We start from the raw sequence: 13,105 nt of genomic DNA, 5'->3' as shown, positions 1-13,105 counted from the left end.
CACTTTTAGGTCTCTTCTCAAATATTGTATGAAGATAATGTCTTCCTCTGTTCATCATATATAAAGTGGAATCTTCTATCTCTCCCTGATTTTTTTCTATTCTTTTCTTCAGAGGAAAAATTAGATGTGTTATATACCATATATGCATTTGTTTATATTTTCCATCTAATCTTTTCAAAAGCTCACTTTTAGAATGAAGACAGCATGCATAGTAATTTCTTAAATGTAAGTAATTCTTAATAATGTTTGGCTCTTTTTTCAGTGATAAAGATAAAAGTTATTACCATGTATTGAGTGCCTATGATGTACAAGACATTTATTTTATATCATCTATCGGATCTTAAAATAACATATCCTTCAACAACCCTGTGAGGTAGATATCATAATCTCTATTTTACAGATGAAAACACTGAGGCTACATCCAAATCTTTGGTCTTCTCTATTCCTCTATAATATAACCCCCTATGAAGCTATTTTAGCCTCATTCATCAAAGTTAGAAAGATCCAGAAGACCTCTCGTAGCTATCACTGGGTAGTAAAGATTTCAGGCACCATGATAGGCATGCAAAAGTATTTTGGAACTGTTTTGTCTTTCATTACGCAGCAGATAGTATCATTTAGATGTCTCCTTGCTTAGAATGGCCACTTGTAATAGCACCTCCTGATAATAGCGTAATTTTTTCTTTCATTGTTCCCTCTTTATTTAAACAAGGTGTGTTTTAAATTGATATCCTTCCATCCCTGCCTCTGAGTGTTTATTCCAAAATTAGTTTACCTTTGCTTTATTGTAGTTGTCATTCCCACTGTATGGTTTTGAATGACTTTAATCTTTCAGGCTGTATCTGGATTAATCCTGTCACTTGGATTAGCCATGTCAAAGCATGTTCTTGACTCACCTAAAAAATGTTATTTTTTCCCACCCTAAAAACATGGCCCCTTGACAGCAGGCCTCATCTACAATTATATTTAAAAAATGGTTAGGACGTCAAATATTTATTCCTTTCAAAAAATTTAATATGTTCTCCTGGGGCCTGATTACAGAATATTTTAATGCTTACAAATTTCTTCAGTGGCACAGTACTAGTTTGTTTCCTAGGAAACAAATGCACTTATACTGCACTGCACACATCCTTAATCACTAAATTCTATAATCTCTTTGTGAATGGATAACTTCTAAAGATTGTTTGTTTTTATAAGAGTTACCAGCTACAATATCACTGCAGGTAAATTTCCAAATATGTTATCAGTGAAAGATTATTTCAATTTACCCTAAAATGTAAGAGGGAGGCTTTATGAAGTAATCTAAAGATGAAACTGTGTATTCTTTTATGGCTGAGTTACACGCATAAATATGAAGTGAATTTGAGCTATGTATGTACTTGCCTCTGTTGTCAGTCCTAGTATCATTCTCTTTTACACAGAAAATATATAGGCTAGTTATTTCTCCATTCAAGAAAGTAGATTGATTTTAGATGTCTTTCTTTCTTAACCAAATATTAACTGAAATCCAATAGGAGCCCACAGAAGGGACAATGCATTTTTAAAGTGACATTTTAGCATTCAAGTCATCCATATTCTTCAATGCGAATATAATTTTTATCTAAATGATTTCAGAGGAAAATGGATTCATTTGACTACAGTGCTTCTAAGACCAGTGGGAAGCTCGTCATCTTAATATTGAATCTGTAAATCCTTTCCACTAGGGATGATTAACAGCTTTGTCAAGTGTTTATTTTACTTTAAGTAGAATATGTAATTTCCTGGTATAACGCAGACAGATTGCAGTCGATTTCTCCCATCACATGTCACGCTCATCCTATGGGCTCACATGATCTAGCTTACTTCTATTAGACTTCTATTTTGCATGGTGAAGATGATCACCTGACAAGTTTTTATAGTTTAATGAGCATACATCAGTCTATTATATGATTCATTTATACTTGAATTTTTAAGAAAGTTCTCAGCAGTCCTGATAAGAAGCAATAACAGTGAATTACTTCCAGATGGCACTTTTGCTATACTACACGTGTGGTCTGAGCTACCCCGGGATAAAACTTCTATTAGTGCAGTGGCGACCTAGTCATATTAGATGTTTTTGGTTAAAGCATTGGTGAACTCTACTTAGGACAGTTCAGCCATAGATACATACTTAGGTAGCTGAGCAGGGTCACTTACATGCTCAGTTTACACACAGATTTCCCTATTAACCAGCACACAAAAGTAAAAGTGGGAAACAATTTATTGTACATAGGTCCATTATCAAAATGTGATTTAGGTGACTCCCTTGGTGTGTCAAATCACTTATGGATCCGTAATCAGATGGAGTTGGCAATAACAAGCTATTGCAAAACCTCTAGTCGCCTGTTTTCCTAAGAAACCGTGAAATGAGCCACATCTCTTGTCTTTTAAAAAAGTTAAGTCAAGAACCCAGAGAGTCACTGTTTTTAACCATAATGTATTCTTTTGGGGGTTACCTATATTTTTTAATAAAACTTTAAGTGAATTCCAATCAATAGAAATCCTCCTTAAACAATAATATTTAAAGAAAACTTTTCTATACTATTTCTGAGGAGGAAGCCAATAATCCAGGAAAACAAGCTGATTCAGTAATTTGTTCATGAGGCAGCTTCTCATGTACATCCTGAAGTTACAGCATTAATAGCCTAATATTTTCCATCTAGCTTTGAAAAATTATAATTCATGTTCAAGTTGACGACCCTGAGGTACAGTAAAAAACAATAATTTACACAAAAATGTTAAATTCAGTATATTAAGATAGAAAAAATGACAAATATATTTTAGAAACATTTTTACAAATTAAAATCTATTCTTATCATCACCCTAATTTGATCAGAAACTCAGTTAATTGAAATACAACTCAGACACTAAGAAGTGTGTTTACTGGGATTTTACTTCATTTCTTAAACCTCAGACAGAAGAAAATAATAAATATATGCTTAAACTGTACTCTGTGTCAAAATGAGAGAAAATAGAAGCCAAAAACATAGTCAAGGAGCTTAATTTGTTCACATCAAACAATCATATTAGAAAAGGGAAACTTGCAAAGTTTTATGCATATGTCCAAACATCACCTGGTTTCAAAATCTAGTTTATTATTCAAATCTATGTACCAGATTGCCCCAATATTTGGAAGTAGCAAATATTTACTGAATCATAATTTTCAGAATGCCATTTAATTAGTGATAAAACATGTTGAATTCTTTTTCTTTTCTCTCTCTCTTTTTTTTTTTTTTTTTTTTTTTTTTTTTTTTTGAGTCGGAGTTTCTCACTTGTTGCCCAGGCTGGAGTGCAATGGCGTGATCTAGGCTCACCACAACCTCCGCCTCCTGGGTTCAAGCGATTCTCCTGCCTCAGCCTCCTGAGTAGCTGGTATTATAGGCGTGCACCACCATGCCCTGCTAATTTTGTATTTTTAGGAGAGATGGGGTTTCTCCATGTTGGTCAGGCTGGTCTTGAACTCCCGACCTCAGGTGATCCGCCCATCTTGGCCTCCCAAAGTGCTGGGATTACAGGCGTGAGCCACTGCGCCTATCCTGAATTATTTTCTTTTATGAATAAATTAAATAAACACAAATGTCTTAATAATCCAAGTACCATGAATCTATTCCACTTTTGAAAGTGGAATCAACTATTTGCAGAGAGTACTACGTGTTATTTCTTTTTAATATCTTGGTCAAAGTCTTAAATAAAAATTGCAAATTAGAAAATCCTTTGAGAGTAGAGTTCAGCCAGGGAACTGTTTCAAGGTAAGTTTTATATTAGTTTCAGTCATTTTAATGAGGCTTTGTTAGAAACCAAGCAAGCAAATGTTCTAGACTGAGGAGTTACATGCAAGCCATCTTTCAAGAAGAACCATCATAAATCAGAACCTCTAACTATCTGCTTATATTATCAGGTTGACACAACAAAAGCATAGACTGGTAGCTAAATGAGAGAGCATTTATTAAGAAAGAAAATGAGACTTCAAATTTGAGTATCAACTTAAATATGAGGCTTGAAATAGGCTAGAGACACCTCTAATCAACAATGCATTTCTATTTCTATTAAAAAATTGGCACTGCTCTCTAATATATAATATAAAAATGGATGGATGAAATTTTATTTTAAATATATGTACACAAGTTGATGTGAAAGCACACGCATACAGGAAAATGGTAGAAAAATATTACACTAATCAGTAAGGATTAGATGAGTCATTTTAATTCTTAGGAGGCTTGAAGGTTAAAAAAAAATCTTGGATTCAAGGGACTGATTTTTTCTCAGTACTAGCTAACCTTGGGCTGTCTGCTTATAACTACAAATTGTTCTTAGCTTAAAAAGAGCCTTTTAATATTTAAAATTATTGGTCTATGATATCCATGTAATTTTTTCAGCCATAGGGTTTCATTTCCTTTGATGTGTATCAAGGTTCCAACTGATATTATTACTACTCCTGCTGCGTTTTAGCCCTGAGAAAGGTTTCTGTCTCTTTAAAACTGGTACCAGTGATTGCTCTTCAGCTCTGAGAGGAAATTTTGTCCACTTTTGTAAGAGTGAGGCTAAGGCATATATGGGACTCTCCTCAATGAGGGATTCTACTTTCTACATTTAAATTTGGTTATGATTTCATCGCCTTCAGTTTCGTTTTGTTTCTCTCTCCAGGATTCAAAGTATCTCAGCAACAAGTGCCTCTATTAAACAAAATTATATTAAGTTCAGAAGGAACCTGGCAGTTTCAAGATCTCCTATATGGTTATACAGTACATTTATACACACTCATGGTGAAGTGGCAGAAAACACTTTCGAAGGAGGGGAATACTTTATTCCCTGTTACTCACGTATTTGTCTTCCAAAAATAAACAAAATTCATAACTCTCAAGCTTAACTGGAAAAAAACACGATATATGCAAAAACGTAGTAATCTGATAAAGTCACAAATACTCAATTTCAACTAGGTTTCCAGTGCTATAATAAAATCTGTTAGATTTTACCTGGGTGCAGTAGCTAATGCCTATAATCCCAGCATTTTGGGAGGCCGAGGCAGGAAGACTGCTTTAGCCCAGGAATTAAAGACCGTCCTGGACAACATAATGAGACTTAATTTTTTGTTTTAATAAAATAGCCAGGTGTGGTGGCATGTGCCTGCAATCCCGGCTACTTCGGAGCCTAAAGTAAGAGATTTGCTTGAGCCTGGGAGATTGAGGCTGTAGTGAGCTGCGATGCGCCACTGCATTCCAGCCTGGGCAACAAAAAGAGACCCCATCTCAAATAATAATAATAATAAATTATATTTTAACATTTAGAGTTCCTTGTTTTTAAAAGATAAAGATTCCAAAAGATTTTGATATATAAGATTAAAGCAGCTATTGTTACCTTTATTTCATATAAAACATGAAATATTTTTTAGTTTCCACTTAATGAAATTGCATTAACATAAAAAATATTATTTTCTATCCCATATATAGCTGACACAGTCTTTAAAAATCATTTATTCCCAATTGTTTGCTGGAAGTTGTTAAGAGTGTAACAACATATATTTTATAAAGCACTTTTATGTAGGCACTTTCCAATACACTTAATTTTTATCATATTTTTAAGTGAAATACACCAACCACCTAAAAGGAAAAATCGATAATGTAAAAAGCAATGTTTAAATGATTTTAAAACAGATTTTAGATAAAATATTGAAAATAGAAAAAGATTTATTAATGGATTCCTGAAGATAGAACCATATAACAAAAGCACTTTTATTCATATGATCACCAACTGAAATTTGACAACTCTAGTAACACTATGTCCCAAGAATGAAGAATCAGTAGTAATTACTTTCATGAAATACAAAGAAACAAAGCCTTCAATCTTATAATCCAAATAAAACCCCGAAGAACTAGAAGATGCCTTGAAGTCAATCCTTCAGCTGACGAGAAATCAATGGATGGATAAGATTGCTGTGATAACTCTGGCATGACTTTATTTTGAGTTAGAAAAGGCCTGGAACATTTTGCACCATCTAATGAGGTGATTGTTGGCAGGGTAGACAGTGAAGATTTACAATAATTACTGTTTGGGGGGGACAAAATACATAAATCATTCTGCATATCAGGTAATAATATAATTTGACTAACATTGTAATTTCTATACTACTGCCTTTCTAAAAATGGATATAAAGGATAAGAGAGACATTGTAAACAAGATTTACAGATAAAATCTATTTTTTCTTTTATATCTAGTAAATTTTCGCAAATAGGTATACTGAAAAAATATTAACACCTGCGCATGTAATGAAAATACCCATATAATAAGAACTTCTAATGCTATTTTAGTAATTTGCCATCATTTAGTATCAATCTCATCCTTAATCTTGGCCTATAAATCAGTCAATAAATTTTCACTGTCAGCCACTCTTTTAAGAAAATAAATCTTAAATATTATTTATTTGCATTTCACTTGGAAAGTTACTCTTTGTGGTTTGCTGGTAAATATTTAGCAACTAAGACGATGGGGTTTTCTAAATATACAATCATGTCATCTGCAAACAGGGACAATTTGACTTCCTCTTTTCCTATTTGAATGCCCTTTATTTCTTTCTCTTGCCTGATTGCCCTGGCCAGAACTTCCAACACTATGTTGAATAGGAGTGGTGAGAGAGGGTATCCTTGTCTTGTGCCAGTTTTCAAAGGGAATGCTTCCAGTTTTTGCCCATTCGGTGTGCTATTGGCTGTGGGCTTGTCATAAATAGCTCTTATTATTTTGAGATACATTCCATCAATACCTAGTTTATTGAGAGTTTTTAGCATGAAGGGCTGTTGAATTTTGTCGAAGGCCTTTTCTGCATCTACTGAGATAATCATGTGGTTTTTGTCGTTGGTTCTGTTTATGTGATGGATTATGTTTATTGATTTGCATATGCTGAACCAGCCTTGCATCCCAGGGAGAAGGCTACCTGATTGTTGCGGATAAGCTTTTTGATGTGCTGCTGGATTCAGTTTGCCAGTATTTTATTGAGGATTATTGCATCGATGTTCATTGGGGACATTGGTCTAAAATTCTCTTTTTTTGTTGTGTCTCTGCCAGGCTTTGGTATCAGGATGATGCTGGCCTCATAACATGAGTTAAGGAGGATTCCCTCTTTTTCTGTTGATTGGAATAGTTTCAGAAGTAATGGTACGAGCTCTTCTTTGTACCTCTGGTGGAATTGAGCTGTGAATCCATCTGGTCCTGGATTTTTTTTGGTTGGTAGGCTATTAATTATTGCCTCAATTTCAGATCCTGTTATTGGTCTATTGAGAGATTCAACTTCTTCCTTGTTTAGTCTTCGGAGGGTGTATGTGTCCAGGAATTTATCCATCTCTTCTAGATTTTCTTGTTTATTTGCGTACAGGTGTTTATAGTTCTCTCTGATGGTAGTTTGTATTTCTATGGGATTGGTGAAGATATCCCCTTTATCATTTTTTCATTGCATCTATTTGATTCTTCTCTCTTTTCTTCTTTATTAGTCTTGCTAGCGGTCTATCAATTTTGCTGGTCTTTTTGGAAAACCAGCTCCTGGATTCATTAATTTTTTGAAGGGTTTTTTTGTGTCTCTATCTCTTTTAGTTCTGCTCTGATCTTAGTTATTTCTTGCCTTCTGCCAGCTTTTGAATTTGTTTGCTCTTGCTTCTCTAGTTCTTTTAATTGTGATGTTAGGGTGTTGATTTTAGATCTTTCCTGCTTTCTCTTGTGGGCATTTAGTGCTATAATTTTCCCTCTACACACTGCTTTAAATGTGTCCCAGAGATTCTGGAACTTTGTGTCTTTGTTCTCATTGGTTTCAAAGAACATCTTTATTTCTTCCTTCATTATGTTATTTACCCAGCAGTCATTCAGGAGCAAATTGTTCAGTTTCCATGTAATTGTGTGTTTTTGAGTGAGTTTCTTAATCCTGAGTTCTGATAAGCAACTTCAGCAAAGTCTCAGGATACAAAATCAATGTGCAAAAGTCACAAGCATTCCTATACACCAATAACAGACAAACAGAGAGCCAAATCATGAGTGAACTCCCATTCACAATTGCTACAAAGGGAATAAAATACCTAGGAATCCAACTTACAAGGGATGTGAAGGACCTCTTCAAGGAGAACTACAAACCACTGCTCAACAAGATAAAAGAGAACACAAATAAATGGAAGAACATGCCATGCTCATGGATAGGAAGAATCAATATTGTGAAAATGGTCATACTGCCCAAGGTAATTTATAGATTCAATGCCATCCCCATCAAGCTACCAATGACTTTCTTCTCAGAATTGGAGAAAACTACTTTAAAGTTCATATGGGACCAAAAAAGAGCCTGAATTGCCAAGACAATCTTAAGCAAAAAGAACAAAGCTGGAGGCATCATGCTACCTGACTTAAAACTATACCACCAGGCTACAGTAACCAAAACAGCATGGTACTGGTACCAAAACAGATATATAGATAAATGGAACAGAACAGAGGCCTCAGAAATAGCACCACACATCTACAACCATCTGATCTTTGACAAACCTGACAAAAACAAGAAATGGGAGGCCGGGCACGGTGGCTAAAGTCTGTAATCCCAGCACTTTGGGAAGCCAAGGCGGGCGGATCACAAGGTCAGGAGATTGAGACAATCCTAGCTAACACGGTGAAACCCAGTCTCTACTAAAAATACAACAAATTAGCTGGGCGTGGTGGTGGGCACCTGTAGTCCCAGCTGCTCAGGGGGCTGAGGCAGGAGAATGGCGTGAACCTGGGAGGCGGAGTTTGCAGTGAGCCGAGATCGCGCCACTGCACTCCAGCCTGGGCAACAGAGCAAGACTCCGTCTCAAAAAAATAAATAAATAAAAATAAAAAAATAAAAAATAAAAACAGGAAATGGGGAAAGGATCCCCTATTTAATAAATAGTACTGGGAAAACTGACAAGCCACTTGTAGAAAGCTGAAACTGGATCCCTTCCTTACACCTTATACAAAAATTAATTCAAGATGGATTAAAGACTTAAATGTTCTATCTAAAACCATAAAAACCCTAGAAGAAAACCTAGGCAATACCATTCAGGACATAGGCATGGGCAAGGACTTCATGACTAAAACACCAAAAGCAATGGCAATAAAAGCCAAAATAGACAAATGGAATCTAATTAAACCAAACAGCTTCTGCACAGCAAAAGAAACTACCATCAGAGTGAACAGGCAACCTACAGAATGGGAGAAAACTTTTGCAATCTACCCATCTGACAAAGAGCTAATATCCAGAATCTACAAAGAACTCAAACAAATTTACAAGAAAAAACAAGCAACCCCATCAAAAAGTGGGCGAAGGATATGAACAGACACTTCTCAGTAGAAGATATCTATGCAGCCAACAGACACATGAAAAAATGCTCATCACTGGTCATCAGATAAATGCAAATCAAAACCACAATGAGATATCATCTCACACCAGTTAGAATGGTGATCATTAAAAAGTCAGGAAACAACAGGTGCTGGAGAGGATGTGGAGAAATAGGAACACTTTTACACTGTTGGTGGGACTGTAAACTAGTTCAACCATTGTGGAAGACAGTGTGGTGATTCCTCAAGGATCTAGAACTAGAAACACCATTTGACCCAGCCATCCCATTACTGGGTATATACCCAAAGGTTTATAAATCATGCTGCTATAAAGGCACATGCACATGTATGTTTATTGTGGCACTATTCACAATAGCAAAGACTTGGAACCAACCCAAAAGTCCATCAATGATAGACTGGATAAAGAAAATGTGGCACACATACGCCATGGAATACTATGCAGCCATGAAAAGGGATGTGTTCGTGTCCTTTGTAGGGACATGGATGAAGCTGGAAACCGTCATTCTTAGTAAACTATCGCAAGGACAGAAAACCAAACACTGCATGTTCTCACTCATAGTTGGGAATTGAACAACAAGATCACTTTGACACAGCACGGGGAACATCACACACTGGGGCCTGTCTGGGAGTGGGAGGCTGGGGGAGGGATAGCATTAGGAGAAATACCTAATGTAAATGACAAGTTGATGGGCACAGCAAACCAACATGGCACGTGTATACCTATGTATGAAACCTGCACATTGTGCACAAGTACTATAGAACTTAAAGTATAATTTAAAAAATATATATTTAGCAACTGACTTTCATGGGGAAAGGAAGAGCTGTGATGTGTGGCTTGATAATTTTTATGGCGTAAATGCTCCTCCTATGGCTTACTTCAAATTACCAATGTTTGAACAGATGTCTTGCAAAATTCCTGAAAATGTGCAAATGTAACCTTGAACCAGTATAAGCAAGTTCCTCGTACCACCAGACAATTTCTATATATTCAAACAAAATAAATATTTTTAAAAATTTGTTTAACATATAATTTATTATGGATTCTTTCTATGTGTTCATCCTATTGCAATATGCACATTTGACTTTATGAATTTTATCTCTGTTTTCTCTTTAATTTTAATCCAAATTCCACCAATACAACCATTAAATACATCTTCACAAAGGTAAGGTCAAGCTCCATTTGCGATTATCTAGCAGATAATTCCAAACCCCCACTGTAGTAGGATATGCTATTGTTTTGATTTGCATCTTTCTTACCTATTCCTTACCCTTGCACACCAGAGCTTATGCTACTCAAATAATATGTCACTATCATAATCCTTGTCTTAGTTCCTGCTTTTTAGAAAACTTGAGCTGGAGACATCTGATTATAAAATACATTAAATTTACAAATATTTTAATAGAAATATAAGCACTTATTGTAAAGAATAAATTTATTAATAATATTCTGAATTCATAACACCATCTTGTAATTTTTAGATCAAAGAAGTTGGGGCAAATAACATGAGGGTAAATAAAAGGTTCATGCACTATATATTTTTTAACATTCCACTCTTTTTATTTTTTATAACACTTTTATAATGGCTTTTTGCAGCATAATTTTTGTATCATAAAATCTGCCATTTAAAAATGTATAACTCAGTGGTTTTTAGTATATTCACAGAGTTATGCAATCATCCATTGCCACTATCAAAGTTTAGAATATTTTCATCACCCCACAAAGGAGTCCCATACTCATTGGCAGACACCCCCACTCTGTCTTCCCTCCAGTCCCTGGCAATTGCTAATCTGCTTTCTCTCCCTATGGAACTGCCTATTCTGGAAATTTTATATCAGTGCATTCATATAATATATATTCTTCTGTGACTGGCTTCTTTCACTTAGTATAGTACTTTCACATTTCATTTATTCTGTAGGATGTATTAGTACTTCATTTATTTTTATCGTCAAATAATATTTCTTATATAAATATACATTTTTGTTTATCCATTTATCAGCTGATGAACTTTTTTTTCCACTTTTGGCTACAATGCATGATGAACATTTTTGAACAATTTTTTTGCAGAGATACATGGATTCATTTCTCTTGGGTATGTACCTAGAAGTATAATTGCAGTGACATATGGTTTATGTTTAACACTTTGAGGTTTTGAAACACTGTTGTCTAAAGTGACTGCACCATTTTACAATCTCAACAGCAATGAATGAGGATTTCAAAATTTCTGCATTCTCATCAGCATTTGTTGTTGACTATCTTTTTTTATTTTAACCATTCTAGTGAGCATAAAGCAACAGCTCATTTTGCTTTTGTTTTGCATTTCCTAATGGCTCATGATGTTAAGCATATATTCGTGTGTTTACTGACCACTCATATATCTTTTTTGGAGAAATAGCGATTAAACATTGCCCATTGTTAAATCGATTGAGTTTTATTGTTGAGTTGTACAAATTCCTTATATAGTCTGTGTAAAATTTTCTTATCAGATGTATAATTTGTGAATCTTTTATCTTATCAGTTGCCTTTTTCTTTGCTTGATGCTTTCCTTTGAAGAAAAATTTTGATCAAATTAATTTACTTGTTTTTTTCTTTGTCACTTATGCTTTTGATATCATCTCTAAGAAACCATTGAAAACCCAAGGTTATAAAAATTTAAGTACGTCTTCTAACATCTTCATAGTTTTAGCTAGAATATGAGATCTATGATGCAGCTGGAGTTACATTTTGTATCTGGTGTGAGGTGGTGCTTCAGCTATCTTCTTTTGCGTATGGATTCATATGGATATCCAATTCCAGCACCATTTATTAAAAGGACTATTCTTTCACTATTGAATGGCCTCAGCATCATTGTCAAGAGTAAATTGATGATAAATATGAAGATTTATTTCTGGGACTTGTGGTTTTATGTTGTTGATGTATATGTATGTTTTTATGAAGTATTACCTTATATTGGTTACTATAGCTTTGTAATAAGTCTTGAAATCTGGAAGTGTAAGCCTTGGTAAATCTTGAAATCTAAAAATGTGAGTCTTCCAACATTTTTTTTCCTTTGTAAAGTTGTTTTGGCTATTCTGAGTTTCTTATATTTTTATATGAATTTTAGGATCCATTTGTCAATTTCTGTAAAAAAATCGGCTGGGATTTTGAAAGGAATTACATTAAACTTATAAATAAATTCTGATATTATTGCCATCTTAACAATACTAAGTCTAATTACCCATGAGCATGGGGTGTTTTTCCATTTATTTAGATATTCTTTATCTCGCAAATATCTCGTAGCTTTCAAAGTATAAGTTTTGCATTTCTTCTTTTTTTTTTTTTTTTGACAGAGTCTCACTCTGTTGCCCAGGCTTGAGTGCAGTGGCACAATCTTGGCTCACCACAACCTCTGCCTCCCGGGTTCAAGTGATTCTCCTGCCTCAGCCTCCTGAGAACCTGGGACTACAGGTGTGCGCCACCATGCCCGGCTAATTTTTGTATTTTTAGTAGAGACCAGGTTTCACTATGTTGGCCATGCTGGTCTCGAACTCCTGACCTTGTGATCTGCCTGCCTCAGCCTCCCAAAGTGCTGGGATTACAGGTGTGAACCACCGTGCCCAGCCTTGCATTTCCTTAAATAAATTTATTCCTAAGTAGTTTATTTTTATGTTTGTATAAATTAAATTATTTTCCTTATTTTATTTTTGTATGCTATTTTTAGTGTATAAAAATACAATTAAATTATTTCCTTAATTTTATTTTTGCACACTT

Source organism: Homo sapiens, chromosome 2, assembly GCF_000001405.40.
Source record: "Homo sapiens chromosome 2, GRCh38.p14 Primary Assembly".
Lineage (NCBI taxonomy): Eukaryota > Metazoa > Chordata > Mammalia > Primates > Hominidae > Homo > Homo sapiens.
Note: the sequence above shows the minus strand (reverse complement) of the source record.